This window comes from Homo sapiens, chromosome 11 (assembly GCF_000001405.40).
Source record: "Homo sapiens chromosome 11, GRCh38.p14 Primary Assembly".
NCBI lineage: Eukaryota > Metazoa > Chordata > Mammalia > Primates > Hominidae > Homo > Homo sapiens.
Genome location: NC_000011.10, coordinates 44,757,653 through 44,783,289, shown reverse-complemented (window position 1 = coordinate 44,783,289; position 25,637 = coordinate 44,757,653). Strand labels below are relative to the sequence as shown.

Below are 25,637 nucleotides of genomic sequence, written 5' to 3'. Positions count from 1 at the left end.
ATTTCAGTGAAGTCAGTTTATCAAGTTTCCCTTTTATGGTTAGGTATCTAAGAAATCTTTGCCTGCCTCAAGGTCATTAAAGATATTCTCCTGTGTTTTCTTCTAGAAATTAAAGAATTCCTTTAAAAAGGACAAATTATATAATAAAAATTGGGCAAAAGAGGCCGTGTGTGATGGCTCACACCTGTAATCTCAGCACTTTGGGAGGCCAAGGCAAGCGGATCACTGGAGCCAGGAGTTCGAGACCAGCCTGGCCAACATGGTAAAACGCCATCTCTACTAAAAATACAAAAATTAGCCAGGCATGGTGGCGCACACCTGTAATCCCAGCTACTTGGGAGGCTGAGGCACAAGAATTGCTTGAACCCAGGAGGCAGAGGCTACAGTGAGCCAAGATCTTATCACTGCACTCCAGCCTGGGAGACAGAGCAAGACTGTCTAAAAAAAAGAGCAAATGACTTGAACAGATATTTTACAAAAGAAAGTGTTCAAATGACAATAAGCCCATGAAAAGATGCTTAATATCAGTAGTTAAATAGGGAAGTACAAATTAAAACCAGAATGCGATACCGTTACGCAACTATTAGAATGTCTAAAACTCAAAAGCTGACCATAGCAAGCATTGACTAGGATGTGGAGAAACTGGAACTCTAGTACACAGCTGATGGGAGTGAAAAACAATACAAGCATTTTGGAAAACAGCTTGGCAGTCAGTTTCTTTTCTTTCTTTTTTTTTTTTTTTTTGTGGAGACGGAGTCTCACTCTGTCACCCAAGCTGGAGTGCAGTGGCATGATCTCTGCTCATTGCAACCTCTACCTCCTAGGTTCAAGTGATTCTCCTGCCTCAGCCTCCCGAGTAGCTGGGATTACAGGCGCCCACTACTACGCTCAGCTAATTTTTTGTATTTTTAGTAGAGATGGGGTTTCACCATGTTGGCCAGGCTGGTCTCGAACTCCTGACCTCATGATCCTCCCTTGACCTCCCAAAGTGCTGGGATTACAGGTATGAGCCACCGCACCCAGCTGGCAGTTTCTTCTAAGTTATACATACACCTACCCTATGATGCAGTCACTATATTCCAGGATACTTCCAAAAGACAAAGTAAGGCATGTGTTCACACAAAGACTTGGACTCAAATGTCCATAGCAGCTTGATTATGTAGTAGCCAAAAATTGACAACAATACTACATCCATCAAAGGGTGAATGGATACACAAATTACTATATATACATAAGATGGACTATTATTCAGCAATAAAAAGTAATAAACTACTAAAACAGGCACCAATGTAAATGAATCTTAGAAACAGTAAGCTGAGTGAAGGGAGACTGACAGGAGAGTACCTACTGTAGGATTCCATTTATAGCAAGTTCCGGAACAGGCAAAGCTAATCTATAGTGATAGAAAGCAGACCAGTGGTTGCCTCTGGGGAAGGAACAGAGATTAACTGGGGAGGGCTAAGAGGGAACTTTCTGGGCTGATGGAAAATTTCTATCTTACGGGGACTGACATATACAAGGTCAAAATGGATGTTATTGTACAATTTATGTCTGTATATAAATGATAACCTCAGTAAAGTCTGTAGCTCTTTAGGGGGAAAAGGAAAAAAGTTGCTGGGTAAGTGTGTATGAAGGTACTCAGGCTATGTTAAAAGACTCCAGAGTCCTGGGTTGTTACCAAATGTGCCCGGGGCTGTGGGAGAAGACAGATGCCCAGCGCAGGCTGCTGGAAGATTCCAGTTATCCATCATCCAGCAAGGATGTGCTGTGTCCTACTATGTGCTGCTACTGCACCTTCTCCTGCAGCCTCTAGAGCAACACAGACACAATAGTGTCCCACAGTGTCCCAGCCATCGAGAAGGTAACAGTCCAGTTTTCCAATGACCAATTAAGGTTGTTGTAACATTTTAACAAACACAAAGCAGCCACTTAGCCACCTCATGGTTTCCCCAGGCCCTGGGCAGCCCCGGCTTCTGGACCTGCATGGAAGAGCTCCCTCCCTCCCAACAAGAGCCTCATGCTGGACACTGGGTGATGGCAGGCAGCCACCCACCATGCTCAATATGCTGACATCAGCAAGATTTTCCCAGCCTTCACCAACAGTCTTCCTATCTCTACTCTACACATGGGGAGAGACTGGCCAGGGCCCTCCAGCAAGGCTGCAGGCACATGATGAATAAGCCACCAGTTCCTGGCTGCTCCTCCGGCCCTCTGCAGAAACCTCTAGAGCATCAGATGTCCTTAATGTTTGTGATAAGCCAGTCCTTTCGCAACCGCTTTCTCTTAAAGGGACAGAAAAAATAAGCTCACCGCCGTGTCTGAAAAGCAGGTACTCCACAGATAGGCTCAAAGTCTCACCAGGAATTCAAAACTGTTTCCCAGGGTCCCCACCCTAGCCTTAGGAAGCTGGCAAGTTGTGGGGCCCTGTTTTAAGGAAGGTTTTGTTGATTAACACAGAAGTTCCCAAGTCTGTATTCACAGCTACCATTCACAGGGCTCAAGCCCCTCCCCAGGAGTGAGGAACCATGATCCCTATTTTACAGATGGGGAAATAGACAGAGGCTTGGGGGTGACATGACATAGCCAAGGTCTAGCAAGTGGATTCCAGACACAGACTGGATTCCAGGACTGGAAGTCTGGTTCCAAAAAGCAAGCATCAAAGTCCGACGTCATTTTCTCCTCAACAAATATCAGAACCATGAAGGAAATGATGAAGTTGGTGGACTGTAAGAAGAAGGGAAGCTTTGTCAGGGCAAAGGCCATATTTTTGTCTGGATCGCTGCTGTCAGTAAGTGTTGGAATGAACGGATGGTAGGTGAATGAATGAATGAATGAGCAGAGGAAGGTATGAAACAGGACTCAGAAAATGTACCCAGCCTCGGAGGGCACTTGTACTGGGCCCAGATTGTCCCTGTCTCAACCTTCCCATCCTCCCTGGAGCCCCTGCTGGGCTTGGCATCCAGGTAAATGGATAATCTGGAGTAAAGAGATAATCCTGAGTCCTGCAGGCCCACAGCAGAGAAACAATCAATTTCATCTAATAGCTTGGTTGCAGCTTGTGAACGTGTGTGTGCATGTGTGTGTGTGTTGCATACAGTGGGGGAGAGGCAGGGAGGACATATTTGAAGTGAATGAATCTGAAGGAAAATGTGTAGGGAAGGATGTGTGGGTGGGTGCGTAGGAGCTCGGGGGTGGTGAAGGAGAGGTGTGTGAAGACGTTTGCACAAATGGGTGTGTGCATGTGTAAATGTGTACAGGTGTATGCATAGATGCGCATAGGAATGCGGAGGCAGGTGTGTGCAGGTATGTGCAAAGGCAGACAGGGATGCGGGTAGGTATGTGCATAGGTATACACAGGTATGTGTGTAGTTGTGCACAGGGATGTGGGCAGATGAGTGCATAAGTATACACAGGTATGTGTGTAGGTGTCCACAGGGATGTGTGCATGTGTGTGCATAGGCAGACACAAGGATGTGGGTAGGAATGTGCAGGCACTTAGGAGTGTACATAGACATGCACAGGCATGTGGATAGGTGTGCACAGGTATGTGGGGGGTGTGCAGGTATATATGTAGATATGCACCGGTATGCAGGTATGTGTGCCAGTGTGTGTGTAAATATGCACAGGTATGTGGGTAGTTGTGTGCATGGAAGGCAGGCATTAAGGCATAGCATGCAGCAGTGTGTGTACCCATTAGCAGTAGAAGGCCATCCATGTCTTCACAAGGCCATGGTGGTATACTCCATTTTCTCCATGAGATTGATGAATTTCACCCACAACTCTAATCTCAAAGGCTCCCAGCCTAGGACGCTACTGATCCCATTAACCTTCTCCAGGGTCTAAAACCAGTTGACCATTCCTAGTCACTCCTGCCCAGAGCAGGTCAAGGAGGGGCCTTCACTGAACACAAAAAGGACACAGTGTTTTTATTGGCATCTGAAAGCATCTGGCCCCAGGGAGTGCCTAGATAGTTCAGAAATACCTGGCCTTTCCCTGGCCCTATTTCAGAATCCCGAGGGTAAAGGGCTGATCTCACTTGACATGACCTGGGGTAAACTGAGAACACAGCCATGGAGTGGGTGGGGAGGAATGGTTGAGGAGGAACATGCGCACCTAGAAGGAAACGGAGCACAATGGAGGCCTCTCCCTTGCCAAAAAGGGCTGTGGGGGTCAATCCTGGGGCAGGCTCCCAGGACAGATACATGTGGCCTGGGGCTCTTTCAGGATCCCCAGTGGCCACAGCTCCTCACTTGGCTCAGCAGGACCTGGGTCCTGGCTGTGGCTCTTACTGCATAGACCGAGCCTAATGGCATCTAACCATCCTGGGAGGATGCCCGGTGTGTGGGCCCAGAGACCAAGACTAATGTCCCCAGAGATCCCCAGGACCTCCAGCCACTGGACAGCTGGCTGCACTGGGTGCCATCTATCTGGAAGAATCAAGACAGCCCTGCCCTTGGTGTCAGCTGACCTCAACACCTGAGGTTCTAAGAACCACAGACTGCCAGGACTGTCAGCTTCAGGAGGCCAGGTCTCAGCTGCCAGGATCACCTGTGTATCCCAGGGCCCCACCTGGCACCAGCCAGAGTAAGTGCACACACGCTTAATGGAAAGACTAAATAAATGCGGGTATTAACAAATGCTGGCTGGCTAGCACTGGGAAAGTCCTCAGAGACCAAGTGAGCCATCCCTCTCCCCATTTTACAGGTAGAGAAACTGAGACACAAAGAGATTTCCTCCATTGCAAATTCATTGATGGGGCTACCCTAAGGTCCAGCCACCCACCTACTAGAAGGCCCTTCACCTTCCTTCTAGAAGGCCAGCTGGAATCAATAGATAGTGCCTGCCTAGCTTGTTTTCCAGAGGATTCTGGAACCAACAAAAGTGCTGCAATTGATTGGTGATGTCTGCGGGGAAAAAGAGAGGGAGGAGTGACAGACCAGAGACCTCCCATTTACACCTCTTGGCCCCAAGGAAAGGGGAGATGAGGGAGAAACTCCCCTCTCCCCATAAGAGGCTACTATTTGCCAACTCAGGCCCTTAAACAAGAGGTGTGCTCCTTCTGGCTAGCTACACAAGTTGCACCATCCTGGGCAATCTCTCCCCTCTCCCCACCTTCCTTCCCCACCTCAGAACTAGAAAGAACCCAGCCCAGCCCCCATTTCTAGTTCTACCTCCTTCTTCCTCCCATGGGTGCTCTAACCACACCAGAAGACTAACTGCCCCACCCCCCACCTGGAGCATAATTCCCATCTGCTCAACCTCTCCAAGGGTTCTCCTGTGCTCTACCCCCTAGGGTATCCTTTCTGTTGGGGGGAAAAATCCTTTAAGAGGCACCTTCTCTCCTGAGCCAGCTTGCCCCAGAGCCCCGCAGACAGAACCCACACATGTGGTGCCTACCTGGGTATCCCTAGTCCCTGAACCAGGGCTTGGCATACAGTTAGCGCTCAATAACTGCATGGTAAATTAAATTGGCACGTCTACCCGGACACCCTCCTGGAGCTGGCATAAAGACTACAAGGAGTTGCAAGAAAGAAAAGGGGGGGAGGTGGGAGGCAGGCTTCAGGGAACCACAGTGTGATCTATTAACAGTGGGAGAGGAGAGAGAATGAATTCATTTCCTCCCTGTAGTAATTTGCCTGTAAATATTCACAAACCATGCAATTTCTCTCAGCCTTCCCATTAAAGACAAATGCATAAATAAACCAGCCCTACCCAGGGGCTTTGCACACAGGCTGTTGTTCCTCTCCTAAAATAATAGGGTGACTATTCACTTAGCTGCAACCTCCCCATCCCCACAGAATTCCGGAGGGGTCCTGGGAAGTGGGTGAGCTGGAGAACAAGGCAGCAGCTTGGCATAAGTAGGTGCTGGTGACCGGGAGCTGAAGCAGAGTTGCTTGCAGGACCCAGGAGGTGGCTGAGCCAGCAGCCCAGAGGCCAGATGAGGTGGCCTCACCTTGGCAGGGTGTCCTCCCCACCCCCAACCCAATCCCCCATAAAGGGTTCAGAGGTCACACATAGGTCTCTTCACTCCATGGATCCCTTGATATGGAAAAAAACAAACACCTCTTGAGATGCTAGAAATGTATGACATATGGGGGAGCACAAAAGTTCCCAAATAGGGAAGCTATTTGAGGGCCAGCATCCCCCAGGCAGGGTACCCTACTTCAGGGGCCATGGCAGGGCAGAAGTCTCCCATCTAGGTCCGCTCCTAAGCTACCCTCAGGTCTCTCTTAACATCTTTCTTTAGAACCAGGCCTGGGGAAGCACCCAGAGAGGGGTAAAGTGCCAGACAGTGCAGGAAGCCAGCTTGTGAGAGGGGGTATCTTTCTCCTCCCCAGGCTGCCCATGCAGGCTCCTGGGGCACCAAAAGGGAGCTTGGGTCCCAAACCCAATCCCTTTAAAACACTCAGAATATAAGCCAAATCTAGAGAAGCATGGTGAAACTAGACACACTCAACCAGGTCCTAGGATGACAATGGCCAGCCCTGACCCAGCACTTCCTCAGCTACCTTCCCTGGAATCCTCATGGCAGCCCTAGGAGGCAGGTTTCGATCATTATCCCCACTTTATAGACGGGGAACTGAGGCCCAGACTGTAGTCACACGGAGAGTCGGGGGCAGAGACAGGGCTCAAACCCAGACATTCCAGCTGCAAGTTCTGACTGTAAAACCACCAACACTCAGAAGAAGGACGGCAGAGCAGAAAGAAGCTGGACACAGGGTCCCAGCACTGGTATGTTGATTTCTTCTTCAGGAGAGGTGCTATTTTCCCTTTAAATATATGACGGCTGTGGTCTGCAGCCCACCCACATCCTCACCCTTAACCCCAGCAGTAGCTCTGTAGGGAAAGGTTATCGTGCCCAATTCACAGATAAAGAAACCAAGGCTCGTGAAGCTTAATGGTCTCCCAGCCAGCAAGTGAGAACCAGGATTTAAATCAGGGCCAATACCACAGCTGTCTCTGCTGGCTTCAGTCCCAGCCCCTCCACCAGCCAGATGTGACTCGGGCCAATCTTTCCCCAAGTGGACCTCAGTTTCTACATCTATACAGTGGTCTTACTAGTTCCTTTCCTGAGTCCCGGCCCAGGGTGGCTGGGCAGATAGAATGAGAAGACAGCGAATGTGAAGGCCACTGCAGAGCACACCAGCCTGCACTGCAGGCTGTAAAGCCCAATAACTGGGCCACTCGGTGAAGACTGACATTTACAACAGTGTGCCCAGACGCCCCACAGGATCCTCTGCCAGCAGAGAGATTCAATTATGGTCATTATGGTGCACTTAGGAAAACCAGGGAGCAGCTAATACATTTTAGAAAGATTGGCAACAACAGAGGTTGAATCAAAACGAGTTTTCTACTTAACCCTCAGTTAAACAGAAAATCCATTTAACCACAAGGCAACACCCTGTCTTCCCAGCCTCCAATCACTTTTATAAAAAAATCGTCTGCCACTTAGCTTTATATTTTTATCACCCTGAAAGCTGCCTTGGAATGAAAAATAAATTCATTGATGGAGAGAAAGATGTCATCGACCTCTATAGGTTAGCAGCCTGGAGCAACATCCTCAAGCCCTTGCTCCCTCCAGCGTGGCAAGAACACAATCCTTGTTTCCATCCCTGCCAAAGATGCTGGCGGACGCTGGAGAAAGCAGCCCCAGAGGCCCAAGAGGAGTGCAAATGTACACCTCCCACCCCCGCCACTAGAGGGAGCAAACCAAACCTTTGCAGTCACCGGAGGCTCCCAGAAGGAGGCTGGCAATGAAACGTGCCTGGAGAGGACCTATAGGGATTCGGTGACCTCCAAGTACGCTAAGCTGCAGAGCAGTCCAGAAGTGTGGGCAGGAACAGGAGCGATTCAAGTTAGGAAGAGTGTTCCCAACAAATGGGGAGAGGAACATATTAGCCAGATAGTTCTCCCTATTATTAAGTAAAGCAGCATTGACTACACACGTGCAAAAAGATACTCCAGGTACGGGGTTCCCAGATAAAATACAGGATGCCCAGTGAAGTGTGAATTTCAGATAAACAACAAATAATCTTTCAGTGATTCTTCCTAAATAGTACATGGAACAAATATTGCTTGGGGCAGATTTATGCTAAAAATTGAGTCATTGTCTATAGGAAGTCCAGATTTAGCTGGGCATCCTTTAATTTTATTTGCTGTACCTGGCGACCCCTCCCAGGAGGTATGCAGGTGACAGCAGACACTAGACACAGCTGAGTGTCCAACAGTAGGGGCCCTCCAGCCCTGTGATGCCCAGGAAGGAATCTCACAAACTGTAAGGCCAGGAGAGATGGGGAAAAAAAGCAGGAAGCCCAACTGAACGGACTTTCTGGTGTCAACTATTGAACACATGCCTGAGTGTGAACAAAAGCAGGAAACGAAGGAGGCTCTGGTCCTAAGAGAGGAAGTGAATGATTTCTTTTCCCTTCATTTTCCAAGCTCTGAATTGTTTTATTGTCTTAACAAGAACAGCCACACACACACAACCAAAGTGCTCAACTTTTCTTATCTTTTGAGATCAACCTGGTTGTTCTATCAGGTGGTGAGTCCTTCGAACTCAGGGAGTGGGAGTTTTTCATCTCTGAACCCCAGTGGATGCCTAGTGAATGGAGGAAAGAAAAAAAGAAGAAAGGGAGGGAAATAAGGAGGGAAGAAGGGAGGATGAAGGAGGCTCTGTCCATGCAAAAGCCAAGAGCTGGGAGGTCCCCAATTGCAAGGTGACTTCTGAGGACCACAGGGACCTCCAGGCAGAAGGAGCCAACTCTGTCACCCCAGGTCTCCTTGCTACCTCTCCTGAATAGAGAGGTTTTGAGGTCAGGAGCCTGGATGCTATCTGGACAGCAGTCAGCCCAAAGCCTGGCCCCAGGCCTGTGGGCCACCTGCCATCACTTCCTCTGCATTTACTAAGAGAAGCTGCCCAGCATGGGGACACACTGTGAGATGCAGGAATGAGCCTGTCTGAGGAGCTTCCCCCAGGGACAGAAAGCAGATACCACACCCCTGGGCTCTGCCCCCTCCTTCTCCCGTGGGACATGCCTGCCTGCCTCTTGGTTCAAGTTCAGTTTAAACAGATGTTCTGTTCCTAAGAAGCCCTGTCTTTGAAGTCCAGGAGAAAAATCTCAGCTCCAAAGGGACCTTTCCTACTGAAGAGACTCTCTGGGGAGTCTCGGCAGAAATAAAAAACAAAACCCCTGGATCCTTATCTCCTGGTATTTATGAGATTTTTAATTAGAACAGCTGCCTCCATGGGCTACACTGCTGAAAGGGAAAGGGAAGGAGAGAGAGGGGCTGAGGGTGGGAGTCCGACTGAGGAGCACAGGACCGGGAGGGAGGCAGCCTCGCAGGCTCCAAACTGCCTCTGAGATGAAGCTTTTAGTGCCCAGCTCTCCATAACCCCAAGCACGGGTACACAAATGGTGCTCAGAACCCTGGTGGCTTTTACGAACTGCAACCAAATACTTATTGACCCAGGGTTCCCAGGACGCCAGGGGTTCCCAGGCTGGTCTTGTGTCCATCCATTCCACCTGGAGACTACCTGGTCCTATTGCAGGACTCAGCTACAGGGTCTCCCCAACCTTCTGACCACCGTTCCATCCCATCCCCCCACAGCAACCCTCTTGGAAGCATCTTGCTATGGGCATGCCAAGAGCGGGGCAGTGGAAGCCGTCCTTCCAGGGAGCTGGCAACAAAGGGATGAACTGCCTGTAGGGAATTTTGAAACAAACCTAAAACCCACAAAAAGCTGACAGTTCTAAACAATGTCGGTGATAAAATGCTCTGCTTTGAGAAAAAAAAAATCTTTTAGTGATCTAAGTTCTAAACAATTGCTGCAGTCACTGGTGGGTTTGTTTTTTGTTTTTTGGGTTTTTTTTTGAGATGGAGTTTCACTCTTGTTGCCCAGGCTGGAGTGCAATGGCGCAATCTCAGCTCATCACAACCTCCGCCTCCCAGGTTCAAGCAATTCTCCTGTCTCAGGCTCCCTAGTAGCTGGGATTACAGGCATGTGCCACCACGCCCGGCTAATTTTATATTTTTAGTAGAGACGGGGTTTCTCCATGTTGGTCAGGCTGGTCTCGAACTCCCGACTTCAAGTGATCCACCTGCCTTGGCCTCCCAAAGTGCTGGGATTATAGGCATGAGCCACCGCGCCTGGCCAGTGAGTTTTAATAATGTGTATGTAAGCTTCAAATGAGCATATTTTTATTACTTAGGCTTTAAAACACATTGTGTTTGCATAGGTGTGAATTCAGAGAGCACCTACTTATTCAGTCAGAAGCCAACATGTGTGGATCCTGTGATACCTGTTCATTTGGAGAATAAGAACTCAAAATCGGGCTCAGTGCAGTGGCTCACGCCTGTAATCCCAGCACTTTGGGAGGCTGAGGCAGGTGGATCGCCTAGGTCAGAAGTTCGAGACCAGCCTGACCAACACGGAGAAACCCTGTTTCTACTAAAAATACAAAATTAGCTGGGCGTGGTGGCACATGTCTGTAATCCCAGCTACTAGGGAGGCTGAGGCAGGAGAATCACTTGAACCGGGGAGGCGGAAGTTGCAGTGAGCTGAGATGGCGCCATTGCACTCCAGCCAGGCAACAATAGCAAAATTCCATCTCAAAATAAATAAATAATCAATAAATAACAATGCAAAATAATACAGAAACTCCCAATACAGTGTATTACCTATCATGAATAAACTAGAGATTATTTAAAGTATACAGTATATAAGCAAATACTACTCCATTTTATATCAGGGACTTAAGCATTAATGCATTTTGCAAGTTTCTTCATGTATTGTTTTCTCTTTTGTCAAAATATCTATTAACGTAATTAAGAACTGTTGACCCGTTACCTTTTTACATTTTCCATGTCATAACGGTTGTTTACTGGCATGGTTATACATACAAAGTTCACAAAAATTTCAGTCTGTTTCTTTTCTGGCCATTATTCTAATTGATTTTATTTCATCATTATTATTGAAAATAATTTTGTTGTATAGAGGAAGCAAGTATACAAAAATCATGTGCTCTAGGTGTCATATATCCTAGAGTGATGGATAATTTGGGTCAAACATTATTCTGGGAGTGTCTTCCAGGCTGTTTCTGGATGAAATTGACATTTAAACAGGTAGATTGAGTAAAGCAAATGGCCCTCCCCAATGTAGCTGGATCTCATCCAATCAACTGGAGACCTAAATAGACCAAAAGGCTGAGTAAGAGGAAACTTCACCAGTCTGACTTCTTGAGCTGGAACACTGGGCTTCTCCTGCCCTTGGACTGGAACTTACACCATCAACTCTCCTGAGTCACAAACTTAAAGTGCTGATCTCAGGATTTCTCGGCCTCTATACTCACATGAGCCAATTCTTCATAATAAATCTCTTTATATAAACAGTCATCTCTTAGAATCCACGGAGGTATCCATCCCTTGCTTCTAGGACCGTCTTTGATATCAAAATGTATTAATGCTCAAGTCCCTGATATAAAATGGAATAGTATTTGCTTATAACCTATGCACATCCTCCTGTACACATTAAATCATCTCTAGTTTACTCATGATAGCTAATACACTGTATTGGGAAGTTTTTGTATTATTTTGCATTTTTTTCTAGAATATTTTTGGTTCACAGTTGGTTGAATCCACAGATACAGAATCCATGGATACAGAGGGTTGTATATCCTATCAGATATATATCCTGATATCCTATCTGTATATCCAGCTGACTGTATATTCTACCAGTTGTTTCTCTGGAAAAGCTGATTAACACACCTAGGAATGCATCTGCTGCTCCTGTCACATTTTATGTCAGGCATCAACAGCTGAATGGTGGCCTCCTCCAGCTCAGGCACTACATGTCATTTACATCTGGGGCCCACAGGTAAATAGCTCTGTGCTTCCAGCACAGTTGACACTTGATAAGTGTTTTTGTTCATATGAATGAATGAATGAATGATCTGACAGAGACATTAGAAGATCCAGCCAGACCTTGCAGCAAGGCATAGAGCTTCATTTCTCCACTCATCCTCAAGCCTCTCACCTTTGCCCCTGCCTAAGGTGCACACTTCTGTTCAGCATATCCGCCCTTCCCTGGGACCAGAATTTTCTCAAATAACACATGACTGCCCTTGACAGTGGCTCAGTCCTCTGTCATCTTTTGCATCTTCACTCACTACCTGAGTGATCTCATTATGGTCAAAGGTTTGAAATACTCTCTATAAGCTGATGGCTCTCAAATTTGGAGACCAGCCCCACCCTCACCCCTGAACCCCAGGTGCATATCTCCATCCACTCCTCTCCACCTCCACTTTAGTGGCTAATAAGCATCTCAACTTAAAATGCCTGAGAAGAACTCAATATGCCCTCCCTCCACTCTCTGCCAGAACCCACCCTAGGCTCTTCCATCTTGGGCCAGAAGCTGTGGTTGGCCTTGACTCCTCTTTCTCTCATCCCCATCCTATCAGCGAGTCCTATCAACTTTGCTCTCAAAATAGATCCTGAATGTTGTGGCTTCTCAGCACCTCCACCACATTCCACCTTCCAAGCCACCTTGCCTCTCCCATGGATTCCAACATCAGTGTTTGTACTGGTCTCCCTGCCCGCTGCAGACTGCCCTCCACCCAGCAGCCAGAGTGATCTTAGTAAAATATAAATTTCATCTTGTCTCTTTCTTGCTTACTGGCTTCCTGCCAAACTTAGAGTCTTTAGATTCAAAATCCAAAGTCTTCACCCTAGCTAGCAGCACTGTGCAGGCTGGGCCTCCAATTCACTCCTGGCCTCCTCTCCATCCACACTACCCTGGGTGTAGCACCCCAGCATCCTCACTGATCCTCCAACATGCCAGCCAGCCTAATGTGCCTTACCCTTGCTGTTCCCTCAAACAGGAAGCCTCTTCCCCGAGATTATGTCAAGGCTTGTTCCTCATTGCCTTTAGGTCTCTGCTCAAATTACATCTGATTAGGAAGGCCTTCCCTGTACCTCCTATCCATAATAGCAATCCTCCCCCAACCCACCACCCGAGTCATTCCCTGCCCCTTCCTGTCATTATTGAACTTCATAGCACCTAATAGCACCTGATATTCAATGTATTTGTTTGGTTTCTGTTTCCCTCAACCAGAAGGCAAGCTCCATAAGGGCAGAGACTCTGCTATTTCATTCAAAACGATATTCCCAGCATGTAGAGCAGTGCCAGGTACATGGTAGGGGCCCAACAAATATTTGCTGAATAAATGAATGTGTACTCACATTTGACCTTTGCCCTCAAGCCAACTCAGGGCTAGGCATTGTTATCGCCACACCCATTCCGCAGATGTAAAAATTGAGATGCAGAATCAACGAGATTTACCCCTAAGCCTCAGATACTTAGTGATAGAGCCACGATTAAAACATAGCCTTCAGAAAACAGGAAATCAATTCAACAAATCCAAATGCTGGTTCTTTGAAAAGATCTATAAAATCAATAGAACTCTGGCTAGGTTAACTAAGAAAAACCAGAAAAGACACCAATTACTAATATCAGAAATGAAAAAGGGGATATCACTACAGTTCCCATGGACATGGGAATGTCCCATAGACATGAAAGGATAAAAGAAATACACAACTCTATGCCCACAAATGTGCACAACTTTATGCCTACAAATTTGATAACTTAGATAAAATGTACCAATTCCTAGAAAGACACAATCTGCCAAAGCTCACACACAAAAAAGAAATTGACAATCTTAATATTAAAGAAATCTAATCAATAAACCTTGCAAAAAAGAAAGTATCAGGCCCAGGTGAGTTCACTGGTGAAGTCTACCAAACACTTATGGGAGAAATTATACCAATTCTCAATAATCTCTTCCAGAATATAGAAGTGGAGAGAATACTTCCTAACTCATTCTGTGAGGCCATCATTATGCTGATACCTAAACCAGAAAAAATCATTACAAGAAAAGAAAACTACAGACCAATATCTCTCATGAATGTAAATGCAAAAATCCTCAACAAATATTAACAAATTAAACTCAAGAATGTATTAAAGGACTTAGATACCATGATCAGGTGAGATTTATTCCAGGTACACAAGACTGGTTCAATATTAACAAATCAAATAATAGGCCAGGTGCAGTGGCTCACGCCTGCAATCCCAGCACTTTGGGAGGCCGAGGCAGGTGGATCACGAGGTCAGGAGTTCAAGACTAGCCTGGCCAAAATGATGAAACCTCATCTCTACTAAAAATACAAAAAAATTAGCTGGGCATGGTAGCATGCGCCTGTAATCTCAGCTATTCGGGAGGCTGAGGCAGAGAATTTCTTAACCTGAAAGGCGGAGGTTGCAGTGACCAGAAATCGCACCACTGCACTCCAGCCTGGGCAACAGAGTGAGACTCTGTTTCAAAAAAAAAAAAAAAAAAAAAATCAAATAGTATAATCCATCATATCAACAATCTAATGAAGAAAAATTGCAGGATCATATCAATAAATGCAGAAAAAGCATTTGACAAAATCCAATATCTATTCATGATAAAAACTCTCAGCAAACTAGGAATTAAGGGGATCTTCCTCAAGTTGATAAAGAGCATCTACAGAACACCGATAGTTAATATCATACTCAATTATGAGAAATTTGAGGCTGTCCTGCTAAGATCAGGAATAAGGCAAGGATGTCCCTTCTCCCACATTATACTGGAAGTCCTAGCTACTGCAATAAGACAAGAAAAGAAAAGGCATACAGATTGAGAAGGAAGAAGTAAAACTGTCTTTTTTTGCAGAAGATATGATCATTTATGTAGAAAACCTGAAAGAAATTACAAAAAAAAAATCCTGGAACAAATAAGCAATTATACTAAGGTTGTAGGATAGGAAGTTAATATAGAAAAGTCATTGCTTTCCTATCTACCAGCAAGGAGCAAGTGGAATTTGAAATTTAAAAACATAAAACCATTTCTATTAACACCTAAAGAAATAAAATACTTGAGAATAAATCTAATAAAATATGTGTAAGATCTGTATGAGGAAAACTACAAAACTATATTGAAGAAATCAAAGAAGTAAATAAATGAAAACACTGATCAGTGTTCAAAAATAGGAAGACTCAATAATGTCAAGATGTCAGTTCTTCCCAACTTGATATACAGATTCAAGACGACCCCAATCAAAATCCTGCAAGTTGTTTTATGGATATCAACAAACTGATTCTAAGGTTTATTTGGAGAAGCAAAACACCCAGAATAGCCAATCAAAAATTGAAAGAGAAGAACAATGTTGGAAAACCTGACACTACCCAACTTTAAGAGTTACTATAAAGATACAGTAATAAAATGGTGTGGTATTTGTGAAAGTACAGACAAATAGATTATTGGCACAGAATTGAAAGCCCAGAAATAGAGCCGCATATATATGTCAACTGATATATGACAAAGGAGCAATGGCAATACACTGGAGAATAGACAGTCTCTTCAACAAATAGTGCCAAGGACAAGTGGATGTCCCCATACACTAGAATGACACTGAATCCCTACCTCACACTATATATGAAAATTAACTCAAAAAGAATCTATGACCTAAATATAGGAGCTAAATAAAACTCTTAGAATAAAGCACAGGAGTAAATCTCCATGATCTCGAATTTGGCAATGGATTCTTAGAATACCAAAAGCTTGAGCAACAATAACAAAAAAATAGATAAACTGAAGCCTGGGGAATCCATAGAAATTGCCTTCTCTCACTCAGCCTGCCTCAGGCCCTATGGGCAGGGGAGATAAAAACATCAGGAGACTTTCATTTCTGCCTGAGCTCCACACTCAGTGCAAGACTGGGTGGTGAATTGGAGAAGAGTGCCACCATGGGCACAGAGGGCACCTCTAGATGCAGAGAATGCCATGAGGAGCTCCCACAAACACTGTCCTTGGGCTAGGAACCCTGTGTTTGGGTCCTTAACCTTGCTGCTTTTTAGACATGAAGCCTGGAGTCATTTAAATAGCTTATTAATGCTCGCCTTCTGGGGTGTGGGTAGGATTAACAATCATCTACAGAAAGACTCCAGTAAAGATGGCTGTGAGTGAAGTGTCAGCCATCAGCTAGAGGCTTGGGATGAACTGCTCATACTTGAGGTAGCTCCAAGTGATAGCACATCAGGACAGGGAGCTGACACAACCCAGGTCCCTCTCACAGCCCTTTTTTAGACCTCACACAGAAGGAGTTATGTGTCTCCAGGGTAACCCCACTGTTTGGTTACAAACACCCAGCTCTTACATCCCAAGAGCCTGGCACTCTTCAAAGAGGTCACCTTGGGAGGCTACACTATTCCAAGGGGGCTGCCATTGTTCAAAGCAAACAGGGGCTTCCCATGGTAGTCACCTTGACCTTACAACCACCCTGTGGGGTGCATGCTCTTTGCCCATCTTACAGATGAGAAAACTGAGGCTATGGGGGATCAAGTCACTCACCCCCAAGCCAAACAGCTACTGAAGGGCAGAGCTGGGACTCAGCCCCCAATCTTCTGGCTCCAAAACCCCAGCAAAGCTTTTCCATGACAGCACATGCCTCTCTGCCTGTTGCTTTGTGGTCATCTTTATATTTTCCCTGTGATGCTATAATGTTTATCTGTTTCCTGGCTAACAAGAGGGGCAAGGCTAAATAGCTCTGCTCCCTGGGCTGTCCTCCTGAAAGTAAACCAAGAACAACAGCACCCCTGCTGCTTTGCTCTGCACTTAAAGAGATTTTTTACTCTTATACACCGAGGCTTGAGGCCCACGACTTCCCCTGATGGAGAAACGTCCCTGAGAAGAAAGGTCCTGGGGATGGGAAGGTTTTTCTGACTCACTTCAGCGCCTTCTCCAGATTAAGAATACTGGGCAGGATCCAGGCTCTGTGATAAGGCAACCGCTTCCTGTGGGGATCAGGGCAGCTGCTGCCAGGAGGTTTACAATTAAGATTATGGTCCTGGCAGCTGGCAGGGTGAGCCGTGGGACACAGACGCTGTCAGTGAGGGACAGCCTGAGTAGGCCCCAGGCCTCACTTCTCCTCCCACACTGTCCACTAAGGCCTCAGCCTGGCCCTGTTTTTATCTGCCCCTGGGAGCCGGCCACCCTGTCTTGGATTCCAGCTTAAAATAATCTAGGGCAGCCAGTGGCACACTCCAGAAGGGTGAGTGAACTATCAGATTGGTGACTAAGAAAGTGGCCAAGTGCTTTCTGACTATGGGCACAGAGGCAGCCAAAATAGAAAATGCCATTAGGCAGTGGTGCAGCACTTTACAATCTGCACACCCCAACCACCTACCAGCAACCCAGGCAGGGAAGCAGGTGGAGCGGGTGTTGAGGGCACATGTACAAGAAACAGTGCGGGGAGCTTCCTAAGTCTTCCTCGTCTTCCCCAAAGCAACCTGTGAGTAGGTGTCACTGTCCCATTTTAGAGATCAGAAAATCAAGGCCTGCAGGGATTTCATGAGATGCCCAAAATTTAAAAACAAAACAAAACAAAGTATAGGACAAGGAAACAAACCATTTTTATGTTTTTACAGGACATGGAACTTCAGAGAGATGATTTGGCTAATTATTTTTAATCTTAAGCTTCAAGTCACAGACTGAAGTAAGCAAAAGACACAAGAATTGTATGGCAGTTCAGGCAGTGGCTTCAAATCTCGATGACATTACTCAGTGCTATGTGACCTTAGACAAGTCACTTAACTTCTCTGAGGCCTGGTTTTCTCTTCTGTAATGTGGAGGTGATCATAGTGGCAAGATGACATGACAGATGAGAGGACAGAATGGGATGGTGCAGTGAGTGAGCGTCACACTGTGCCTGGCGCATGAAGCCCTCCATCATATTGCTGGTTTCTCTTCTGATAGGCAGGGACTCAAACCAAGGTTCCTCTGCACCTCGGACCCTGTGATTTACCACCAAGGGTCGGAGCCATCGTCCTTTGCCCAAGACAGGCAATCAGATCTCCTCGGAGTTTTCAGATCCCCTCTCCTCTCCATGGCCTTCCACAACCTCCCAACCCCTGACCTGTCACTTCTTCTATTTCAGCCCTGGTCTTGGAATCCCAGAAATGGAGGGCGTGAGTGCTGGAACAGAGATTCAAGTTGCAGCTGCCTCATTTTACAATGAGAAAATGAGGACCAATGAGGGAAATGACTTATAAGTCACATTGGTGGCTGAGGCTGCTCAGAGGACAGACATCCTGGCTTTTCATCCAGAAAGCTTCCATGAGGCCACCCAGCCCACCACCAGTCCCAGAATCATGGTCAGCTCAAGAAGGACTTCCCAGAGCCTCCGAAACAGACCAAGGCTTTTCTGTTCTCAGTTTCACCATGGAATGTGGTGATTGATCCTAGTACTTGTGGATTTAGACTTTGTCCAAAAGATTATCGAGGGCAGAGGGAAGGTAATCACCCTAGGAAGCGATCTCCTTATCACGGTCCCAAGACTGTGGTGGGTATGGGGGAGGCTGAGGTCAGGGAGGGGTCCTTGATACAGATTCCATGAGCCCTCATGACCCTGCCTGGAGCCCCCAGGAGCTCTACTCTTCCTTGAAGGGCTCACTCCCTGCCATCCATCAACACTCACTTCCTGCACCAAGGTGGCCCCGTTGCCCTCACCCATGAGTAAATGTCTAGGGGTGAGGACAAGAGTGAAGCCACCCTTCTCCTGCCCTGCACCCCTTGGGCAAGAGCTGAGAGCCCTCTCACATGGAAGTGGTGGTTTGGAGGGCAGGAAGAGAAGAAGAGAGAAGAGTAGACCCTCTTGTTCGAGTAAGTGAAGATGCCACCCTGCCATGTTGCCACATCATACCTCTTTCCACTGGTGTCTTTCCCTTTGGGCCCAGAGGTGCCAAGGTTCTCTTACAGTGTCCTCCTGACAGTAGCTTCTGGATACACTCTAGAGAAAGAAGAGAGAGAAACACATTTCAAAAAGGCAGGAGTCCTTGGGGACCACCTCAGTCCACATGTGGCTCCCACTCCCCAAGGTCTCCTTTCCCCACTTCCATTACTGCAAGCACAGAAGCCAGACGGGGCACCCATGACTGGTGATATGGTTTGAATGTGTCCCCATCAAATCTCAAATTGAATCATAATTCCCAGTGTCGGAGATGGGGCCTCAGATCTCCATCCAGGCAGGTGGGAGGTGATTAGATGATGGAGATAGTTTCTCATGAATGGGTTAGCACTGTCCCCTCAGTGCTGTTCTCATGATAGTGAGTGAGATACCGTGAGATCTGCTTGTTTAAAAGTGTGTAGCACCTTCCCCTCTCTCTCTCTTTCTCCTGTCCCTATCTGTCACTATGCGTGCTTCCCCTTCCACCATGATTGTAAGTTTCCTGAGGCCTCTTCAGAAGCAGATGCTGTCATGCTTCCTGTACAGCCTATAGAACTGTGAGCCAATTAAATCTTTTTTTATATATAAATTACCCAGTCTCAGGTATTTCTTTACAGCAGTGCAAGAATGGACTAATACAGCTGGAAAGGCAGGACTAAGCACCAGCCCCACAAAGCTTCCCAGGATAGCGTCCCCAGAGCCTGTGAATGGGGGCATATTTTCAATCTTCCCAAGTCAGCCCGGAGCCTATATATCCATGTGATGGCATTGAACATGCTAATCAAAACATCACACTGTGTTTCTTTGCTTCCAGCTAGAATATTATCAACTTGGTGTGGGAACTCCAGTTTCCTCAGGCTGAAAAAAAGGCTTTCTGAGTCATTTTGAAACTAGGAAAAAGAATTAATCATTGCCTAATGAATACAGGCTCTTTGGGCAGACCCAACACTTTCAAGATCTGCTATCCATGAAGAGATAAGTAATAGTAAGGAAAGTCTCCGGTGGTAAAAAAAGAATTCAGTTCCAGAATGCCAGTGGGGTTAGAAGTCCAGCCTCTCCAACCCTTCCCTTCTGTCAGTTTGATGAAGCATCCCCAGGTCACCAGAGAAGGATCAAATTCACCATGTCCAGGCCACATACCTGCCAGCAGAGACAGGCCAGTCCCAAGAGATTGGCTCAGTCACATGCACAGCTGAGAAATAAGAGCAAAACTTACAGCCTCCAGAGCACAGGGGAGAAAGCGAAGTTCCCCAATCTCTCCCCTCCCAGGCTCCTCCTGCCCTCAGAGACTAGCTGCACAGTGGAAACCCTGATCAAGTTTCAGGTCTCTCGAATGATAATGATGATCAACCTGATGCCCCTTACAACCCCAGGAGAAAGTGTCACCACTTCAGGAATGAGGACTGTGAGCTCAGAGGAGTTAAATAACTTGCCCAAGGTTACACCACTGAAATGAGTCTGAGCTGGGACTAGAACTTTGGCTGTGGGAAGTCAAGCCCGGTGCTAGTGCCATCTCCACAGTGGGAGGGATGTTGGTTTCCGTAGTGTAGTGGTTATCACGTTCGCCTCACAGTGGGAGGGATGTAAGCAGGAAGGTGATGAGTTCGAGGTCTACCCCACAGACCCCAGCATCAGGGCAGCTCAGGCATGCAAGGGAGTCTCTGAACTCCCATTAACTGATGGAAAATAGGGATTGGCTGGAGGATGGGACCTCATTTTATTTAGCTATCTGGGCCTCAAATGTCCATCCAGGCAGTGTCAGCGCAGGGGGACCTCATGCATCATGAACCAGACTAAGGCTACAATCAGAGGAATTTGTTACATTTATAAACCCATAAACACACACACACAAACACACACACACACACACACATATGTGTATATATAGGTATGACCTTGGGCAAGTTATTTATACATATATAAATTTTTCATTTTTAACTACAAAAGTACATGTGCTTCCTTACCAGCCATCCTGTTTAACAGAGAGAACCACTGCAAACGCTCTGGAGTGAGACCCTCTAGACTTTATTCTACCTAATCAAATACGTGTATGCATGTGTGTGTAAGCATGTACCTATGTGAGCACACATGCAGTGTGACTTTTTACAAAAGTGGGATCTTACCACACACATTCTGCAATATCATTTGTCAATGATATCATGTCCAAAATGGATCTTGAGTCCTTTTCATAGCTGCACAGTATCCCGTAGTACATGTGGGCCATAATTTATTTACCATTTGTTTATTTCCCACCATGGCTGTGTCGAATATTTCCATTTCTGGCCTCTATAGCCTTGCTGCAATGACCCCTTGGGTGCCCATCTTGGTGTAGAAATGTTCATGCAATTCCAAAGCCCAGAAGTTTAGAAGTTGGCAGAGGAGAGGCTGGCCACATCCCGCCTTTGGGTAGTGCTGACAAACTGCCTTCCCAAAATGCTGGATTGAGTCACCTCACAGTGCAGGGCAGAAGGAACCCCTTTTCTTTGATGTAAACTTGAACCCAGGGTTCTGCCTATGGAATGGCTTTCCTAGGCACATTCCAGTGGCCTGGTAAGCCAAGGGCCCTGGACAAAGGGAGGCGTGTGGGACTTGGCTGGCGCAGATGTCCCTGCTCTACTGTCTGCAGCATCGCAGAGGAACTCGGGCCTACCTGAGCCAGGAACTGCATTTATTGGCTCAGAACTGATAATGAGCTTTTATGAGCTCCAGGGACTGCACGGAACACGTATTAGTGTCAAGAGTGCCTGTCAGCCACGCAGCCTGGGTGAATGTCACACATTAACGGAATTAAAAGCTGCAGCCATGCCGGGAAGGAGCTGCGGGCTGCATGTCAAGAGGTGTGGGCAGCGCCTGTCAATAACAAAATTACTTTCCAGGTTTTGCGCTCCAGAGCCTTAAGCTGTCTCCCGTCTTCGGTGGAATTTTGCCTTCCTGCAGCCTCAGAGGAGATTAGTTTATTACCAGCCTGCCAGAAGAGGCAAAACCCAGCACTAATCCTAATTCCCATTTAAGCAAATCTGCATTGTGTGAGGGAAACCAGCTGGGCTGAGAATGTTTTCCCCCTTGCCCATGAGATCTCATTGCAGTCCCCTCCTCTCTGCGGGGGAGGGGAGTCACTACAGATGTTAGAGCCAGAGCTGTCCTGGGAGATGGAGAAAAGAATCCCAAGGTTTAGGGCTAAGAGCAGGAACGGGTCCTGGGTGCAAGTGGCAGAGTGTAAGCCTGGTGGGCAGGCGACAGGGGTCACCCTTGACCCGATTAGTCTTGGGCTTTGGGAAGTCCCGACAACCCTCCCAGCCCCAGACTTGATCTTGCTCTGTGCACAGTTCTCCCGAATGTTTGGGGTGGCACAGGTTGAAATCCTAAATCAAATTCTTACTAGCTGTGACCCAGAGCAAGCGACCTATCTACGTCATGCCTGGACTCCTCAGCTATGACACAGGGCTAACAACAGCTGATGACTCACAGGCTGTTGTGAGATTCGATAAGAAATGTGTAGCAGGATTTAGCAGAGAGCCTGGCACACGATATCATGGCTCTTGAATGGAAGTCTCCATGGATTATAATGACACCATAATTTTAAGTACTTCTAAGAAACAGAAAACACTACCAATTAATTAAATTAACTATGATATCACTTTTTGCACAATGCATCCTGGTTTTAGAGACATTAAGATGTTAAAAAAAAGTGTGCCTTAGAATCTGCAAAATACCAGAGCTTAATAGGTGGCAGTAACTACGATGAGTATAAGCCAATTTCACCCATTTTGCAAGGCCTGGCTCAAAAGTTAGAGCTTCTTCCTCCTCTTCTTTCTTCCAAACTAGGGGTGGAGCTCTCAATTTACAAGAAAAATTTGGTCAGCCCACTTCAGTGTCCTGGATGAGGCCCAGATGAGAAACTTTAATATGTCTCCTGATGTTTCCTACTCTACTGTTACTGTTTTAATTGAAATATAACATACATACACAATAGCACACACACCATGAATATATACCCCACTGAATTTTCACAAACAGAGCATCCCTGTGCAACCAAAACCCAGATCAAAGACTCTTGTCTATTTCCCAGCTACTGATTCTATTCACCTCATGTGTCCCAAAGCAGCCTTGACTCTCCATCCTCATAGAACCTGCCAGTCCCTGGCTGGGCTCACCCTCCTTACTGTTGTCTGCTTGCTGCACACGGCTCCTGGCTGGTCTGCCAGCCTGCAGCCTTTGTTCCCCGCTCTGCCCTCTCCTTCATTGTCAGAGTGAGCCCATAAATGGAGAGCACTGTGTCTGTCTCCTGCTTTAGTGGGTTCCCTGGCCTCCCTTTGTCTAGACACAAGGCCTTTTATCATCTGATCCCCAATTCCTTTCCAGGCCCACCTTTAAGTCTTTGCCATATGCAAAGACCCCACAGTAAAAGTGAACTCACCTGGACTCAAAGTGTGCTCAGCCCAACTTCCCTGATGTTTGCTCTTCCTGGAATTCCTCTCTTCCTTTCCTAACCCTGAGTTTCACCCCTCCCCTCACTTGGCAAACTCCTAATCATCCTTCAAAACCTTCTTTCAGTTAACTCCTTTGTGAAACCTTCCCACTCTCTCAACAGGCATAAGTCATTGTTCTCCGGGCTCACATCACAAATTGTGTGTATAGGTAATAGTATATTTTTTGCTCATGTGATTTTTCCCACCTACCAGACTATGAGTTCCTCAAAGATATGGGTGGTATCTTACTCCCTCTGAGTCTCAGTTCCTGACTCTGCAAATAATAGCTGGATGGATAGACAGTTGCTAGGAGAAATGGATGGATGGGTAGTGAATGGATTTATAAAAGAACTTGAATGGTAGAAAGAAGGAACTAGGCTATAATTGGTTGAGGGATGGGAAAATGACTGGGTGGATGGAGAGATGGATGAACACAGGGATGAATAGAAGGACAGAGGGAAGACAAGTGGATCTATAAAACAATGAGTTAAATGAATGTGGGAAGGCAGAACTAGGTTAATGGTGAGAAAGAGAGAGAGAATGAATGACCCTCAACTACTTGTATAATTTTCTCTAGACCCTGAGAAACTGAGACTCTTAGGACTCTGAAGAGCCTAGCTTTAGTCTTCCAGAGTCAGTAGGTCTGAGGAGAGACCACGTCGTCAAACACCATCACCCCCTAGCTCACCCCACTGTACCACTTGTTGTATCCATAGATCTACAGGTAAGGCCTTCGGGAAGGAATGGTCAGAGCTGCCTCTTGTCTTGGCCTTTGCTGACCCAGGTGCTGAAGAATTAAACAGTGCCACAAGGAGACCAAAGCTTTCCTGTGTCTAAGCCAAGCTCCAGTATGCAGGGCAGTTGCTTTGCCAACTGTGTTCAATAAGCCAGCTTGTGAACAGGCATGGGATAGGCAAACTGCCTGATTTACAGCAGAAGGACAGCTGCTGATGGAAGCCCTGCAAAGATGCCATTTTGGGGGAACTATAAAATCGGTAAAGGGTCAGGATAACTGAACAGCATAGCACTGTTTGGATGGTTCCTGTGAATGGGCTTTGCACAGGGACTAATTCCCCAGTATAGCCTGCTGCCTATCTTCAACAGGGGTAGGAAACACGGTAGGAGATGAGGAGCCCCCAGCATGAAATCAATGTAAAGCACTGTGGTTAAGAAGCCAGGCTTTTGTGCCCCCGCAAACCTGAGTTTAAATCTCAGTTCTGCCTCTTGCTACCAATGTGACATCAGGAAAATTCTCTATCCCAGCAAACCTCAGGATATCCACCTGCAAAGTGTGGACAACCATAGTCCCACCTCACAGGCTTGAACTAGGGATTGGATGAGCTAATAGACTGCAAATGATTCCCACAGTACCCAGCCTATCATAAACACTCGATACACAGAAGCAGCAGGAATTTTGTAAAATATAATCTGCCGCTACTTTCTGTAAAAAGGGCACTGAGCTAAGCATTACTCTTATACCAAAACCAGACAAAGACACTTACAAGAAAAGAAAACTACAGACCAATATCCCTTATGAGCACTAATGCAAAAATCCCCAACAAAATATTAGCAACCCGAATTTGGCAGCATATTAAAAGGATTATACACCATGACCAAGTGGGACTTATTTCTGGAATGCAAGGATGGTTAAGCATACAAAAATCAAGGTAATACTCCACATCAACAGAATGAAGAGGAAAATACCCCCACACAATTATATCAAATGGTGCATAAAGCATTTGACAAATTCAACACCCTTTTATAATGAAAACATTCAACTAAAAATATAAGAAAACTATCTCAAAACAGTAAAAGTCATATATGAAAAACCCATAGCAAACAGCAGACATCATATTCAATGGTGAAAGACTGAAAGCTTTTCTTCTAAGATCAAGAACAAGACAAGGATGCCCATATTTGCCACTTCTATTCAACACAGTATTAGAAGTTCTAGCCAGAGCAATTTGACATTGGATTTTGTAATGATTTCTTGGATATGACACTAAAAGCCCAGACAACAAAAGGAAAAATAGACAAACCAGACTTCATGAAAAAAATTTAAATTTGTGCATCAAAAGACAATACAAACAGAGCAAAAATGCAACCCATGGAATGGGAGAACATATTTGCAAATCATATATCTCACAAAGAATTAATATCCAGAAAATATAGAAAACTCAAACTCAGCAACAACAAAAAAACCCAATTAAAAAATGGGCAGAAAAGATTAAAAGACATTTCTCCAAAGATGATATACAAATGGTCAATAAATATATGAAAATATGCTCAACATCACTAAACATTAGGAAATGCAAATCAAAACCTGCAATGAGGCCAGGCACAGTGGCTCACACTGCCTGTAATCCT

General features: G+C 46.2%; 1 protein-coding gene across 7 annotated transcripts in view, besides 5 other annotated features; it reads right to left on the bottom strand.

The window, feature by feature from the left end:
- Positions 1 to 25,637, bottom strand: part of TSPAN18 (tetraspanin 18) — a 206,114-nt gene that overhangs the window by 149,134 nt on the left and 31,343 nt on the right. For all 7 annotated transcript variants that reach the window (XM_047427847.1, XM_011520459.4, XM_047427846.1 and 4 more), the window contains exon 2: positions 18,778 to 18,864. The gene's annotated coding sequence lies outside the window, so the exon portion shown is untranslated. The remainder of the gene's footprint in view (positions 1 to 18,777; positions 18,865 to 25,637) is intronic.
- Positions 2,722 to 2,891: an enhancer, noted in NCBI's record as "experimental_21411 CRE fragment used in MPRA reporter constructs". NCBI's record gives its function as "activates a minimal promoter by MPRAs in K562 erythroleukemia cells, with activity observed for both the introgressed and non-introgressed 11:44802034 variant alleles {active_cell/tissue: K562}" and the evidence as "EXISTENCE:reporter gene assay evidence [ECO:0000049][PMID:34662402]".
- Positions 5,412 to 5,911: an enhancer, noted in NCBI's record as "H3K4me1 hESC enhancer chr11:44798929-44799428 (GRCh37/hg19 assembly coordinates)". NCBI's record gives its function as "activates a minimal SCP1, AML or CMV promoter by ChIP-STARR-seq in primed H9 embryonic stem cells {active_cell/tissue: H9 hESC(primed)}" and the evidence as "EXISTENCE:reporter gene assay evidence [ECO:0000049][PMID:30033119]".
- Positions 5,912 to 6,413: an enhancer, noted in NCBI's record as "H3K4me1 hESC enhancer chr11:44798427-44798928 (GRCh37/hg19 assembly coordinates)". NCBI's record gives its function as "activates a minimal SCP1, AML or CMV promoter by ChIP-STARR-seq in primed H9 embryonic stem cells {active_cell/tissue: H9 hESC(primed)}" and the evidence as "EXISTENCE:reporter gene assay evidence [ECO:0000049][PMID:30033119]".
- Positions 8,378 to 9,152: an enhancer, noted in NCBI's record as "H3K27ac-H3K4me1 hESC enhancer chr11:44795688-44796462 (GRCh37/hg19 assembly coordinates)". NCBI's record gives its function as "activates a minimal SCP1, AML or CMV promoter by ChIP-STARR-seq in naive H9 embryonic stem cells {active_cell/tissue: H9 hESC(naive)}" and the evidence as "EXISTENCE:reporter gene assay evidence [ECO:0000049][PMID:30033119]".
- Positions 16,529 to 17,029: an enhancer, noted in NCBI's record as "H3K4me1 hESC enhancer chr11:44787811-44788311 (GRCh37/hg19 assembly coordinates)". NCBI's record gives its function as "activates a minimal SCP1, AML or CMV promoter by ChIP-STARR-seq in primed H9 embryonic stem cells {active_cell/tissue: H9 hESC(primed)}" and the evidence as "EXISTENCE:reporter gene assay evidence [ECO:0000049][PMID:30033119]".